Source organism: Homo sapiens, chromosome 6 (genome assembly GCF_000001405.40).
Source record: "Homo sapiens chromosome 6, GRCh38.p14 Primary Assembly".
Lineage (NCBI taxonomy): Eukaryota > Metazoa > Chordata > Mammalia > Primates > Hominidae > Homo > Homo sapiens.
Window position 1 is genome coordinate 108465805 of NC_000006.12, and position 15440 is coordinate 108481244.

At 38.8% G+C, this 15440-nt stretch overlaps 1 protein-coding gene and 1 long non-coding RNA gene across 10 annotated transcripts in view; one reads left to right on the forward strand and one right to left on the reverse strand.

Moving 5' to 3' along the window:
* The window catches only part of AFG1L (AFG1 like ATPase), a 230948-nt gene that overhangs the window by 170751 nt on the left and 44757 nt on the right, over window positions 1-15440 (forward strand). For all 9 annotated transcript variants that reach the window (NR_136553.2, NM_145315.5, NM_001323005.2 and 6 more), the window contains 2 exons: window positions 11061-11131; window positions 11388-11488. Coding sequence is in view for 8 of the 9 variants with exons in the window: in NM_145315.5 (NP_660358.2) it covers window positions 11061-11131; window positions 11388-11488 (172 nt within the window). In the remaining variant the exon portion in view is untranslated. The remainder of the gene's footprint in view (window positions 1-11060; window positions 11132-11387; window positions 11489-15440) is intronic.
* LOC124901370 (uncharacterized) overlaps window positions 3083-15440 on the reverse strand; it is a 29555-nt gene continuing 17197 nt past the window's right edge. Inside the window, exons 2-3 of the long non-coding RNA XR_007059698.1 lie at window positions 14179-14420; window positions 3083-3497 (exon numbers count right to left, since the gene is read on the reverse strand). This is a non-coding gene — a long non-coding RNA (uncharacterized LOC124901370). The remainder of the gene's footprint in view (window positions 3498-14178; window positions 14421-15440) is intronic.

Genomic DNA, 15440 nt, shown 5'->3' on the forward strand with positions numbered 1-15440 from the left:
CTATTTTGTTTATTTTTAATTTTTAATTAGTTCTTTTAATTTAATTTAACTTTTTTAAAGAGTTATGTTTAACACTTTAAAACATAGTGACACTTTTTTAAAGTGTCACTATGTTGCCCAGGCTGGCCTCAAACTCCTGGGCTCAAGTGATCCTCTTGACTCAGCCTCCCTAGTAGCTGAGACTATAGGCATGAGTCACTACACTATGGATTAAGTCTTTTGTTAAATTAAATTACATTTGTGTTTTTATGCCCAATCCTTGTTAAAAAATAAACTTGAGGCAACTTATATTGAAGTCATTTATAATTTATCCACCATAATCACTAAAATGGAAGAGATGGAAAATGCCAAGTATTGGCAAGGATGTGGAGAAAATGGAACTCTTTTTTGTATCACTGGTGGGAGTATAAATTGCTACAACCAATTGGAAAACTGGCAACATCTCCTACACTGAACATAGGTATACCCCATATGCAGCAATTCTAGCCATATGCCCAACAGATATGTATATATGAGTTTACCAAAAGGAATGTACTAGAATGTTCATGGTAGCACTATTCACAGTATCCCCAAAATGTGAACTACACAAATGCTCATTGTTGTGGACTGAATTGTGTCCCCCAAAATTCACAGGTTGAAGCCCTTACCCCAGTGGAACTATATTTGGAGATAGGGCCTTTAAGGAGGTACCTAAGATTAACTGAAGTCATAAGGATAGGGCCTTAATCCAATAGGACTGGTGTTCTCATAAGAAAAGGCAGAGACCCCAGGAGTGCGTGCACACAGAGGAAAGAAAGGCCACATGAGGACATAGTGAAGGCGGCCGTCTGCAAGCCAGAAAGAGAGCCCTCACCAAAAATCGATCCTGGCAGCACCTTGATCTTGGCCTCTAGCCTCCAGAACTGTGTGAGAAAAAAAAATTATATATATATATTTTTTAAAATATATTTGTTAAAATATATATATTTTAAAAAATATATATATTTTAAACTATATATATATATGTTGTTTAAGCCACCCAGTCTGTGGTATTTTGTTATGGGAGCCCTAGCAGACAAATGCACCCATCACCGGTAAAATGATAATAAATTGTGATATTTTTATGCAATACAATACAGTGACAAAAATAAACAAACTACTTCTACACACATCAATATAGATGAATCTCACAAACATAATATTGAGTGAGAGAAGTCACATACATGTGAATAAGGGAAATGAGCTTATATGAAGCAATATGTACTTATGCCCAGCTTGAAATTGATTTAGGATGCACTCTTAGAGATTTGACCAATGTCAGTGCAAAATCAAAGAATTTTCCTGTGTCTGGAATATTTGTCAACCAGCAAAGATCAGGACTGTCAGGGTAATTAATGCATTGTGTTTCAGAAGTTTTTAATTTTAAAAATAATAACTTTTACATATTAAATATTTGAGGTACTTACTTTTTTTTTTTTTTTGAGGTGGAGTTTCGCTCTTATTGCCAAAGCTGCAGTGCAATGGCACGATCTTGGCTCACTGCAACTTCCTGCTTTCCGGGTTCAAATGATTCTGCCTCAGCCTGCCAAGTAGCTGGGATTACAGGCCCCCGCCACCACACCTGGCTAGTTTTTTAATATTTTTAGTAGAGATGGAGTTTCGCCATATTAGCTAGGCTGGTCTCAAACTCCTGACCTCAGGTGATCCACCCACCTCAGCCTCCCAAAGTGCTGGGATTACAGGTGTGAGCCACTGGGTACTTACATTTTAAAGTAATTTTTACTTAGCATTTATTTTGTGTTAATGGTCTTATGTTTTCCACTTTACATGTCTGTATCAGGTAGAGATCACTTTTACATATTATTGCAACATATAATCTTGTCACAGTACATTGATTTATAATAGTGATAAGCCATGCATTTATTATTATACTGTTATTTTACAGAAAACTACTGAATATAACCCTATGGTAGAGAAATGATTCACTATTATTATGGGCATGCATTATTGTTTGAAAACACATAAAATGTAATAAATACAGAATAACTTATGGTTTCAGGATATTTTTTAAGATTAGTATCTATTGGGAATTTGGGAACATGTTTTCTGGGATTCCCCAACTTGCAGCTTTCCTCTGGTTATTCATGTCAGAAGACTGCAGGTTTTCTACTGGAGTTTTAGTTGACCTGAGCAGTACTGACTGCACTGTCTTCAGTCTGAAAGCTGTAAGACTGGATAACTAACCCCATATTTATCCCTTCTCCCAAGTGTCAGCACCCCACCAGAATCTGTTCACTTCTGTCCACTGTCCCATGCCTTCAGATGCCTGTTTTTATATTTTTCCAGAGTTTACATATAGTTGTTATCAACAGGGAGGGTTGGTTGAAGCAGAGCCAACTTGGTCCTATTAGAAGCAGAACTCTTCTCCTTGTTCTAAATAGAACACACCCTTGAGTATCATCCTGAGAAGGGTACATGGGAAATATATATTTTGAAAACTCACATGTCCTAAAAATGTATTTGTTTTACTTGATTAATAGTTTGAATGATCACGGTTATCACACAATAATATTCTCTTAGAATATTTTAGACACTATACCATTATCTTCAAGCTTCCATTATTGCTGTTACAAAGTTGGATGTGAATCTGTTTCTTGACTTTTTATATTTGACCTGTTTTTTCCTCTTGAAGTTTTTAGAGTAGTCTCTTTGTTCCTGGTTTCCTGAAATTGCATAAGGATATGCCTTGGAATGGAGCTTTTTTCCATTCTTTGTGCTGGGTATTCATTGAACCCTGTCAGCTTTAGAAAGTCATGTCCTGCAGTTCTAGGAAAGTCAATTTTATTCTCATTCTTTTCTTCTCCCCACCCCTCCACCCCACCTCATATTCTCCGGAACTCCTCCTGAACTTTGTGAATTGAACTGAATCTTGTGAATTGATCTTCTAATGTTCTTTTGTTTTCTCTTCTATTTTCCTTTTTTTTTTTTTTGGTCTTTTTGTTCTATTTTCTGATATGACCTCAACTTTTTCCTTCAATCCTTTTCCTGCATTTTGGATCTAGCAGTCCTATTTAGAGCTCTTCCTTATGCCTTTGTTGTTCTTTTGGTTTGCAGCATTCTTCTTTGTCTTGTGGGTGCAATATCTTATTCTCTCCAAGCATATTATAGTGTGTTCTTCCCTTTCTGCTCTCTTATTTTTTTCTTTGCTTCCTCCAGGGTCCTTTTAAAAATGTCTTTATTTTGGGTCTTTGTCTTTTACCTTTGGAAATACTTGGTTGTCCATTCACATGTAAGAATAAGGCATTAAAAAGCTAATCAGAAGTTCTGAGTGCATAAGCAGAGTTTTATTGATTGGTGGGCTTCACTGGAGGGTGATAAGGTGGCTGGTCATGTTTTTCACTGGAGATCTCCAAATGTGAATATCTGTAAGTCTTTCTTTTGGCTATTCAGTTTCCTCCAAAGGTAAATCTTTCTGTCTAATTCCTGGGATAGAAGTTTTGCTGGTAGGGTTCTGGATGCTGAAAAGGTACAGATTGTTAGTTACACTATTTAATATGTAGGATTTTATACAACTCAAGGGACATTAAAAAAAAAGAAAAGAAAATTTTAATGTAGGCTTTCAGTATGGTATCTCTCCCTTTTTCTTCATTGTTAAATCTACCCCAGCTGCTAAACTTACTGTTGTGGGTAATGACTGTCTGGCTGGTTGTGTGAGTGATAAGAAGACAGTTGTGGGTAAAGAAAGACAAATGTATTAGAGAAAGTATGAAAATACGTTGTAAGGGTGCAACAGGCAGGTCAGCAAGAAAGAAGGTGGCTGCAAGGAGACAGAGGCTTGCTGGGGATTTTATAGGCTGGTACTTGTGCTGTGTGCTGAAGAGGGCTTTGTGCAGTGATAATGCCAAGGTTGCAGTGAACTAACTTGCATTTTTCTATCAACTGAGTGGCTGGTGATAGCTGGGCATAGGAGGATTTTGAGTTATTTGCACAGGAGGAGTATGTGTCCTGGACCATCAAGAAAGGCAGACTTATCTGCTTTCTCTTTTTGCTTTCCTCTGGTCCTGCCAGCCTGACTTTTTTCCCTTAATTAGAATTCCAGACTTGCCAGTTTCTGCTGGAGTGGAGGAGGGCAGGAATCTGGCTATCCAAGTGGAAGGAGAGAATCTAAGGAACTGTCTTTATCTTATTTTCAAACAAATACCCGTTTGCAGCCTAACTCCTCACCTGTACATTCAGCTGTATCTGCTAGTGCCAAGCCTTTGGAGAGTTCTTTGGTGAGAACTGGTCTGCTTCATTTTGGCTCTGTATTCCACCTCTCACCTTCTGATTTCCCATCAATTAAGGTTCTGCTCATCCAAGTAAGGAGAGCAATGCCAGTCATTCCTTCTTCTAGGCTCCCTAATGTTTCCAAGTCATTCTCTTAGAGAACACTTCCCTCATCACTTGCCTTTGGGGAGGATAAGTCGTCATCCTCTTCTTTCCCAAGGGGAAGGCAGGGAAAGGCTCTTATCACACATACTATACCCAAAAGCTAGTGACTGTTGTTCCATTTCCCCCTCCTTATAAAGACACTGTGTTGTGGGGTATAACAGGAGATGGTGGAGGAGGGGTGGCAATAGAAGTGGCACTGCTTATATAACCATGAGGGCTTATATAGACCTAGTGGCTGTTGGCACTAGGTGGCTCATTGGCAGTTCTGTTTAGAAAGTAGGGGGATACTTAACACTCTAACCATCAACTTTGTGCCTTAATTGTAATTCTAGGACAAGAGGGAAATATTACACTTACAGAACTGCTTACTCTTCCATTGTATAAGTGTATCCAAATGTACTTAACCAAATTCCCCATTGTGGGACATTTCTTTTTCACTTTTGTGATGCTAGGAACAGTATTACAGTGATCACCCTTGTAGTAGTTAACCATTATTATGTCCATAGGTAAAATTCCTATGAGTTTCATATTTCATAAAAACATACACATTTTTAGTACTTTCATTAAATATTATCTGTTTGCCTGAAATCTGGTACTATTTTTGTACTCCTCCCAGCTGTACATAAGAGTGTTGTTTGAGATAACTGAACAGGAGGAGATCGACAGGAACATGAACAAGAACTCATTCACATGTTAGGAGGGTGGCACAGCCCAGCTCCAAGGGGACAGATACTCCTGTGCTAAGGACCCTTGCAGAGCTCATTGTATGTATCTCTTCATTTGGCTGTGTATTTATTTTCTTTAAGATATCCTTTGTAATAAACTATTAAACAAGAATCTTGGTCGACCAGCATCTTGGTCGACCATGAGGAGGGAGAAATGTGAGGGCATGCTGACAGAATCGTTTCAACTCTTCTCAATTGATCATCTTCCTAAAAGGTGACTAAGTGGAATGTAGTGAATGTGAGTGAATCTTTCTTGAGGGTGAGATTTGAAACCTCTGGAAATAATTAATGAGAACATAAAATTCTCAACCTTCATAACTATGACGAAGGCAGAGACACCGTATAAGACTGAACTAAATACCACTGGCCCCAGGACTGGACCTGATCATTTTTCTTGGACTAAACCTCTGATGCAAATATGTTTTTATCAATACTCTTGGATCTCCCATCACTCCTAAGATAGTATTGGGCCATAGAAATGAAATTCAGAATGTTTCATTTAAATTGATGTTCTATCGTGTTCTTCTTCTTTTTTTTTTTTTTTTTTTTTTGACACTGTTGCCCAGGCTGGAGTGCAGTGGCATGATCTTGACTCACTACAACCTCCCCCTCCCAGGTTCAAGTGATTCTCCTGCCTCAGCCTTCCGAGTAGCTGGGATTACAGGTCCCGCCACCATGCCCTGTTAAGTTTTGGTATTTTTAGTAGAGATGGGGTTTCACTATGTTGGCCAGGTTGGTCTTGAACTCCTGACCTCTTGATCCGCCCGCCTCGGCCTCCCAAATCCATCGTGTTCTTATTAAAAATTTGAAAACATGCTGCCTCCTATTTACACCAGAGGATACTTCGACAAGAAATATAATTATGGGACCATGTTTTCATCTTGCCTTCTTGCTTCATTCCGAAACTTGCTTACTCTTCTCTTTTCATATTCCCAAGTTCCTCTGGAGTCATTATACAGAACAGAGCATACTGGGAAAGCATTATGTTAAAAAGTATCTAAGGACGCAGTGTCCATTGATGGATAAATGGATAAATTGTGGTCTATATACACAATGGAATATTATTCAACCTTAAAAAAGGAGATCCTGCAATTTGCAACAACATGGATAAAACTGGAGGACATTATATTAAGTAAAATAAGCTAGATACAGACAGAAAGATACTACAAGATCTCACTTGGATATGGGATCTTCTAAAAAAGTCAAATACTTAGAAACAGAGAAATCAAATAAGTAGAAATAGAATAGAGCAGTCATTACCAGGGATGGGGGTTGAGTGAGGAGAAGGGGAAGGGATGAGGAGAGGTAGGTCAAAAGATAGCAAGTTGCAATTACAAAGGATGACTAAGTCTAAAGATCAAATATACAGCATGAGGACTATAGTTGAAAATAGTGTATTGTATACTGGAAATTTGCTAAAAGAATAGATTTTAGGTGCTCTTACCGCCCCCAACCCCTCACACACAAAAGGTAACTGAGATGATGGATATGTCAATTTGATTGGCTGTAGTGATAATTTCACTATATATATCAAAACATCATGTAGTACACCTTAATATATACAACAAAAAAGTTTAAAATATTTTTTTAAACGAATGTCCATTTGCTTAGGATAGTTTATCTTTTTCCTTCTCTCTGCCAATTTGGATAGAAGAATGGCATCTTATTATTTTACTTTGCATTTGTTATTACTTGTTAAAAACAGAATGATTTTACATATGCTGCTTGTTCACCGAGCTATCTTTTTTTTTTTTTTTTGAGATGGAATCTCGCTCCGTCGCCCAGGCTGGAGGGCAGTGGCACAATCTCTCTCCCTCCCTCCCTTCCTTCCTTCCTCCCTCCCTCCTTTCTTTTTCTTTTCTTTTCTTTTCTTTTTTTTTTTGAGTCATGGTCTCCCTCTGTAGCCCAGGCTGGAGTCCAGTGGCATGATCTTGGGTCACTGCATCCTCCACCTCCCAGGTTCAAGGATTCTCATGCCTCAGCCTCCTGAGTAGCTGGGATCACAGGCACGCACCACCATGCCGGCTAATTTTTGTATTTTTTGTAGAGATAAAGTTTTGCTGTGTTGGCCAGGCTGGTCTCCAACTCCTGGCCTCAAGTAATCTGACCACCTCGGCTTCCCAAAGTGCCAGGATTCTAGGCATGCGTCCCACGCCTGGATTACACCAATAAAATTTTTTATTTTGCATTTTGTAACTTCTGAGTGATTATAATAGAATTCTTATAAGACACTGTTATAACAAAAATAATTTTGTGATATTTCACATGTAATTTCACTATATAGAAAATCAAGTATTGTAATTTCACAGGTGACTTAGGAGAGGTGACCTGATTGAAGTTTAGTGAGTCACATTTTGATAATATAGTATATACGAGACCATAGAGTAATAAAGAAATCACCACTGAGGAAGATTGCAAGGAATTATTTATTCACCAAATATGCTTTTGGAGGCCTGTCTTCTTTCTTGGTTGTTTTTCAGAATTCAGTTTTACTCCTATGTTGAGTAATGTGCCTGTCCTAAGGAAAGATTAACTTTCTAAATGACAGCAGACCATACTGAGTGGGTGGTGTTGCTCTCTTTTCGCTATGTTCCTTAAAAAGCAGCTCACTTTTTTAAAATTTTTTTTATTTTTTGAGACAGAGTTTTGCTCTTGTTGCCCAAGCTGGAGTGCAATGGCACAATCTTGGCTCACTGCAACCTGCGCCTCCCGGGTTCAAGCGATTCTCCTGCCTCAGCCTTCCGAGTAGCTGGGATTGCAGGCGCATGCCACCACACCCAGCTAATTTTTTGTATTTTTAGTAGAGACGGGGTTTCACCATGTTAGCCAGGCTGGTCTCGAACTCCTGACCTCAGATGATTCGCCCACCTCAGCCTTCCAAAGTGCCAGGATTACAGGCGTGAGCCACTATGCCCGGCCAGCTCACTTTTTAAAAATATATATTTTATTTTAAGTTTGGGGATACATGTGTAGGATGTGCAGATTTGTTACATAGGTAAATGTGTGCCATGTTGTTTGCTGCACCGATCAACCCATCACCTAGATATTAAGCCCCACATGCATTAGCTATTTATCCTGATGCTCTTCCTCCCTCTCCCCCCGGCTCCTGACAGGCTCTGGTGTGTGTTGTTCCCCTCCATGTGTCCATGTGTTCTCATTGTTCAGCTTCCACTTTAGAAGCGAGAACATGTAGTGTTTGGTTTTCTGTTCCTGTGTTAGTTTGCTGAGGATAATGGCTTCCAGCTCCATCCATGTGCCTGCAAAGGACGTGATCTGCTTCCTTTTCTGGCTGCAGAGTATTCCATATAGTCTATGTGTACACATTTTCTTTATCCAGTCCATCATTGATAGGCATTGGGGTTGATTCCCTGTCTTTGCTGTTGTGAATAGTGCTGCAACAAATATATGTGTGCATTTATCTTTATAATAGAATGATTTATATTCCTTTGGGTATATATCCACTAATGGGATTGCTGGGTCAAATGGTATTTCTGGTTCTAGATCCTTGAGGAATCACCATACTGTCTTCCACAATGGTTGAGCTAATTTACATTCCCACCAACAATGTAAAAGCATTCTTATTTCTCCACAGCCTTACCAGCATCTGTTGTTTCTTGACTTTTTAATAATCGCCATTCTAACTGGTATGAGATGTTATCTCATTGTGGTTTTGATTTGCATTTCCCTAATGACCAGTGGTGTTGAGCCTTCTTTCATATGTCTGTTGGCCGCATGAATGTCTTCTTTCAAGAAGTGTCTGTTCATGTCCTTTGCTCACTTTTTGATGGGGTTGTTTGTTTTCTTTTTTCTTGTAAATTTGTTTAAGTTCCTTGTAGATTCTGGATATTAAACCTTTGTCAGATGGGTAGATTACAAAACTTTCTCCTATTCTGTAGGTTGTTTCTTCGCTCTGATGATAGTTTCTTTTGCTGTGCAGAAGCTCTTTAGTTTAATTAGATCCCATTTGTCAATTTTTGCCTTCATTGCAATTGCTTTTGGTGATTTCATCATAAAATCTTTGCCCATGCCTATGTCCTGAATGATATTGCCTAGATTTTCTTCTAGGGTTTTTATGGTTTTGGGTTTTACATTTAAGCCTTTAATCCATCTTGAGTTAATTTTTATATAAGGCATAAGGAAGGGGTCCAGTTTTGGTTTTCTGCATATGGCTAGCCAGTTTTCCCAGCACCATTTATTAAACAGGAAATCCTTTCCCCATTGCTTGTTTTTGTCAGGTTTCTTAAAGATCAGATGGTTGTAGATGTGTGGTCTTATTTCTGAGATCTCTGTTCTGTTCCATTGGTCTATGTGTCTGTATTGGTACCAGTACCAGGCTGTTTTGGTTACTGTAGCCTTGCAGTATAGTTTGAAGTTTGCTAGCGTGATGCCTCCAGCTTTGTTCTTTTTGCTTAAGATTGTCTTGGCTATATGGGCTCAAAAGTAGCTTACTTTTAAGCTCTTTTTTTTCTTTTTTTGCTTGTATACACCAAAGGTGGTGTTGGTTCCAAATGAATTCTCAAGAATAATGTCTAAACAGACATGTGCTTGGCATGACCATTGACATTTACATTGGTTTGTGTGATTTCTTTTTCCTTTAAGATTGTTTCTGTCTCTAAAATTACTTTCTATAGTGTCATTTCATTATTTTAATACCACTCTATTTGAATATGACACTAGACCTCATGGAAGTCAAATAGCATTTCTCCTGCAAAGTTGACCATTGCAAATGATGTTTTTAATGTCCTTTGAGGTGGAGTGGTTATTACTTGGAATGTGACAATTTCAAACTTTTCATAATAACTATATGCTTTGTTGCATTTTAAAGACATTTGCTCTAGAACAGTTGAAGAATTGGGTGCTTGTGTATTAAATGCCTACCACCTGATAATTATCTCAAGGGAGAATTTGTTTAGTTTAAGCTTAATCTAAATAAAAGATAACCTGTCACACTAATTTTCAATAAGACTTTAGTAAGATGGATGTCCAGAATTTAGTTTAATTGCTTCCACTACTACGTAAGAGTGATCTGTGTGTCAAAATTAAGCATATTGGCAGGTCAACCTGTAAAAGTTTGTATGTGGAGTTGAAGTAAACTTACATTTTTACTTGAAGCTCTTTTTAACAGTTTATTTCTTCTGCCAGTTATTTTATTGACTGTTAATTTACCACCCCTCTTAAAAAAAAAAGGCGAGAGGAAAAAGGCCATAGCATCATCTCATTTATATATGAGTTCCCTAAACCATATGGTGATTTCTAATTAGAATACAAAAGATTCTGTGATGAGACTAACTTCATAGTAGCTGTAACAGTGGGCATCACAGAAGGAGAGAGTTTTCTTCAATTTCCAACAAGGAGACTTTTGAGAGAAACTGTGTGGTCTATAATTGTCCTTATACTAGAAGTCTGACAAAGTTATTGATGTGCAGATCAAGTTGGCATTTCGAAGGTAGTAATTTAATTCTGGAGGTTTGATCCTCTCAGTCAGTGGCTTGACTTGATTTTTTTAAAATGCAGCTTCAATATTTAATTTCACATGTACCCTCTCAGTAGAGATTTCAAAGGATACTTTGCTGGATGCTTGACTGCCTTGTCTATTTGCTCTTGTTTTGCATGCAAGAGAGAGCCAGAAGCTTTCTTCTCATTGTGTACACATGGTATTAATGGATTTACTCTGCCTGTATCGTCTCATTACTGGAAACAGCTAGAAGCACAGAAGTCTTTCAGTGTATGCAAATAAGGCAGAATCATCTACCTGAGAGTTAATATTCTCTGCTTTTAAGTGTATTCTAAATCTAATGTTTGTATTTAGAGCATAACATCCTGTTCTTTTTTTTTATGGGCAAAAAGCTAAGCAGTCTCAGGCAGCTGTTTGATGTTGGCTTCAAGTGTTATTAATTTCATATTCTATTATTCTTTTCACTGTAGCACAAGTGAAGCTGATGTGGAGGCTGTCATGGATAAGTTGTTTGATGAGCTGGCTCAGAAACAAAATGATTGTACGTAAGTTAATTTCTCTTGAAAGAGAATACATTTAGAACACAATGCCCAATCTCCACTGACCAATTAATAAGTTCCATTGCTGTATATGGGTTGATGCCACGCTCAAGTGGCAGTCATTGTATCAGCATTTTGTCTAATTTATGTGTTGAATCATGTGCTATTATTCATCAAGCTATGCATTTCCTATCTGTAAGAGATGAATTTTATAGTAATTATCCAGACAAGATTGAGTCTTTGTTCATGTTCCCATAGTAACTAGACCAAGGATTCTAAAAGTGCAAGGCAGAGAGCTGCGCCTGAATAAAGCCTGTGGAACCGTTGCCGACTGCACATTTGAAGAGCTGTGTGAGAGAGTAAGTATCCAGGCACGTCCAGACTCACTGGCCTTTTCACATGTTAAAATACTTCGTGTTTTCCTCTCTGCCCATTTCAGATTTTAAAATACCATTCACAGAGTCAGAATCGATTTAAAAGTCTCATTAAGGGAAATACTCATCTATTTTTGCCATGTGCTTTTTATAGATATTGGCACAAAATTTGCACTTAGAGGGGCTCTAATGCAAAATTAGAAATGCAGAGAGAACTGTCAACTGTTGCTAGAAGCAAAAATAAAATCAGTTTTGGGGCTGTTTTGTAAAAGTCAAACATAAGAGATTTTGGAAAAATATTTGAGGTGAGAGTTAGGAAAAAGGAAGATGAAATAATGCTATCATGATCCAAGGAAGCATCACATAAAAGAATTTCCACTCCTTGTACTGATTGCCCATCTGATATTGCCATAACATTGGACCTACTAGGGCCAGGGTCAAAGAAGGTGAATTTCTATAACTGTGGCATCTATATTATATATTAAATAATATGTTCAACAGAGAAAAAATGTTTAGCTGTATATGCACACATTCATATAACTGAGAAAGATCTTGACTGCAGATTCATTATAGATATGAATTCTGTCTTTTAAAAAATCTGGAATTCTAAGTACTTCAGTGGATATTCAATGTATTTATTGATTGCAAATCTTGAGGAAAACAAATCCAAATTAGATATAATTTTAAGCATAATTTTTCGATTGACATGCTTAATTTATCATTCTAGCTGGTCTCTGATTTATCTTGACTTTTAGGTAACTAAAGAACAGTTGCTTTTCAGTAAGGGAAAAGACAAAATACTTATACCTGCGGCCATTTTATGAGTGCTTTTCTTAAAAGCTAGTGACGGCCGGGTGCGGTGGCTCGCGCCTGTAATCCCAGCACTTTGGGAGGCCGAGGCGGGTGGATCATGAGGTCAGGAGATTGAGACCATCCTAGCTAACACGGTGAAACCTCGTCTCTACTAAAAATAGAAAAAATTAGCCGGGCGTTGTGGCGGGCGCCTGTAGTCCCAGCTGCTGGGGAGGCTGAGGCAGGAGAATGGCGTGAACCCGGGAGGCGGAGCCTGCATTGAGCCGAGGTCGCTCCACTGCATTCCAGTCTGGGTGACAGTGCGAGACTCCGTCTCGAAAAAGCAATTATTTAGCACTTCAGAACCAGCATAGTTTAGGATCAGTGAGGATCCTCCGACAGGGTGGTAATGTTGATCTCTGTTAGTGAAAGTCATTCTGGGTGATACGGACCTTTCAGACCTCTTCTGGATCAATCTTTAAGGTCCTGATAACCTAACATCTCCTGACAAAATTCTATTAAGGCTCCCACTTAGGTCTGACTTATTTTGCAAGGAAAATAAACTTGAGAAGAATCTTGTATATCCAAAAGATGAAGCTCCTCCACTTTCTGCAGAAGAGGGGAACGGGAAAAGACAGGCCTGTTGAATCTTGGGGGAGGAAGGAAAAGATGGTCTCTTTTGGAGCAGACACTGAGTTTTATCCACATTTTAAAAATATGCTCATTGTTTTAGGAGTTTTAGTAACAGGAAAAGGCCACTTATCAGGAACCAAAATCTTCAGTTTATTTACTGTCCGGGGGTGATGGGGAAGAAGATTGATTGAGACTTTATCTTGAAAAATGAAATAACACTTATAAAAATAAATTGTTTTGTCTTATTTGACAAAAAATATGGATTATAATAGCAACTACAAACTAAACTCTTAGATTAAACAATGAACAAGTGCAGTGGCATGATTATGGCTCACTACAGCCTTGACCTCCTGGGCTCAGGCAATCCTCCCACCTCAGCCTCCCTGGTAGGTGGGACTGCAGGCACACAACGCCATGCTTGGCTAGTTTAAAAAGTTTTGTAGAGATGGGGGTCTTACCATGTTGTCCAGGCTGTTCTCAAATTCCTGGCCTCAAGAGATCCACCCACCTCAGCCTTCCAAAGTGCTGGGATTACAGATGTGAGCTACCATGACCAGCCTTGTCAATTATTTTCTTTTGAAGTTTTTGTGATGTTATTATTTGTTGATTTTTTTTTTCTCCAAGTTGGCCAGATCTTCATTTGTCAGTGAGTTTGCATGGACAGGTTTGCCCCTTATCTAGACTGTAATTGTGGGGTGTTTACTACATTACACAAGCACTGAATGACCTGCAAAAGGCATTGACGTGATAAGTGGGGTTAGGTCGCAGTGTTAAGCTATGAGGGATCTTTCAGGAAGGGCTAAGTTTTTAAGTAGCTAGTTTGTTTATGACTATTTTCTTGTTATGATGATTTTGCATTGCTTTGCAACCTTGTAACTGCAATTCAGATATTGATTTCTTGCATGAAGAGGACAATTGAAATCCCTCAACTTCAGATGTAGCCTAAAACTCTTAATGAGTTATAATGATCTTATGAGCCAGGCTAAATAATTGCCAAAAACCATTAAGTAAAGATAAAAACACATCCAACCTAAGGTAAAGAAGCAGGCATCTATCTGGTGTGCCTGGGACAGTCCCAGCTTTGGATCATCTATCCTAATTTTCTAGAAGGCTCTTGAAGCCCAAGACTTGCCCAGTCACCTGATACCATCATGAAAAAGTCTTTGGCAAGGAGTAGATTGGTTAACAGTCCATAATGACTATTTTTGAGCCATGGCCCCTTCCAAGGAAAAAATAATACAGAAACTTACCTGTGTCTTGATAAGGTAAAAGAAGGTTTAGATTGGAAGCCCTTGACATATGCCATAAGTAAAATGAAAAAGCCTGACACATTCTGCTGTTTGCACACCTCTTCCCTCACTGTTCCAAGCACAGTTCCTCAGATTTAGAATCCTGCAGGTTAACATCTAGCTTCTTGGTATCTCCTGGATTCTCTTTCTTCGTAAATTTGTAATTCAGTACCGTCATGTTCAGCAGTCTGAGTTAGGAGACCCTGCAACACATACATAATAATAATAATGAATATAGCCACACATCAGGTATCATTCTAAGCGCTTTTATATATTAACTCATTTGATACTTACAATAGGTAGGCACTAATATTGTCCCCATTTTATAGGTAGAGAATTTGAAACACCAAGATGTTAAGTTACCTTCCCAAGGTCACAAAGCTAATAAGTGGTGTAGCCAGAGCTCAAACTTCTTGGTAGTTTGGGAGTCAGATTCTGTGCTTTTAATCACTACATTGTATCTGAAGATGTTCTGGACAAGTTTTTCCTCAATCTTTAATATACTTTGGACTCTATCTTAAAGTGTAATCATTTGGGAGGCCGAGGCAGGCGGATCACATGAGGTCAGGAGTTCAAGACCAGCCTGGACAACATGGCAAAACCCCGTCTCTACTAAAAATATAGAAATTAGCCGGGCGTGGTGGCAAGCATCTGTAATCCCAGCTACTCAGGAGGCTGAGACATGAGAATCATTTGAACCCAGGAGGTGGAGGTTGCAGTGAGCCAAGATCACACCACTGCATTCCAGCCTGGGTGAGAGACTCTGTCTCAATAAATAAATAAATAAATAACAACAACAAAAATAAATAAAGTGTAATCAGATAATTTGTGAATTCTCACATCTGAGCTAAGCTTTAAGAATTTTATGGAGCATGAAGCTGAATGGGGAACAGACATCCTCCAGTCCTGAGAGCCTCCCTCTGTGTTGAAAACCTTAGTACGGACCTGCCCAACTCATGTGTGTTGGCATACCCACTGGGAAGTCCAGCTACGAGCCCCTCTGCTCTTCTGAAGGCTGTACCTCCAGGGTTTGTGGCTCCAGGCAAGAGGCCCCAAGCCTTAGGCAGCCTCATCCCTTTGCCCATTAATAAAAATACTTTCTCTTCCTGCCATGACAAAGGTTGGGAAGTGCTGCCTTAGAGAAGTGTGGGAGGGTGGAGGAGAATATGTTTGGGTGGTCTTTGTTCCCTGCCGTTCCCTCCATATCAGAGCTGTGGCAAAGG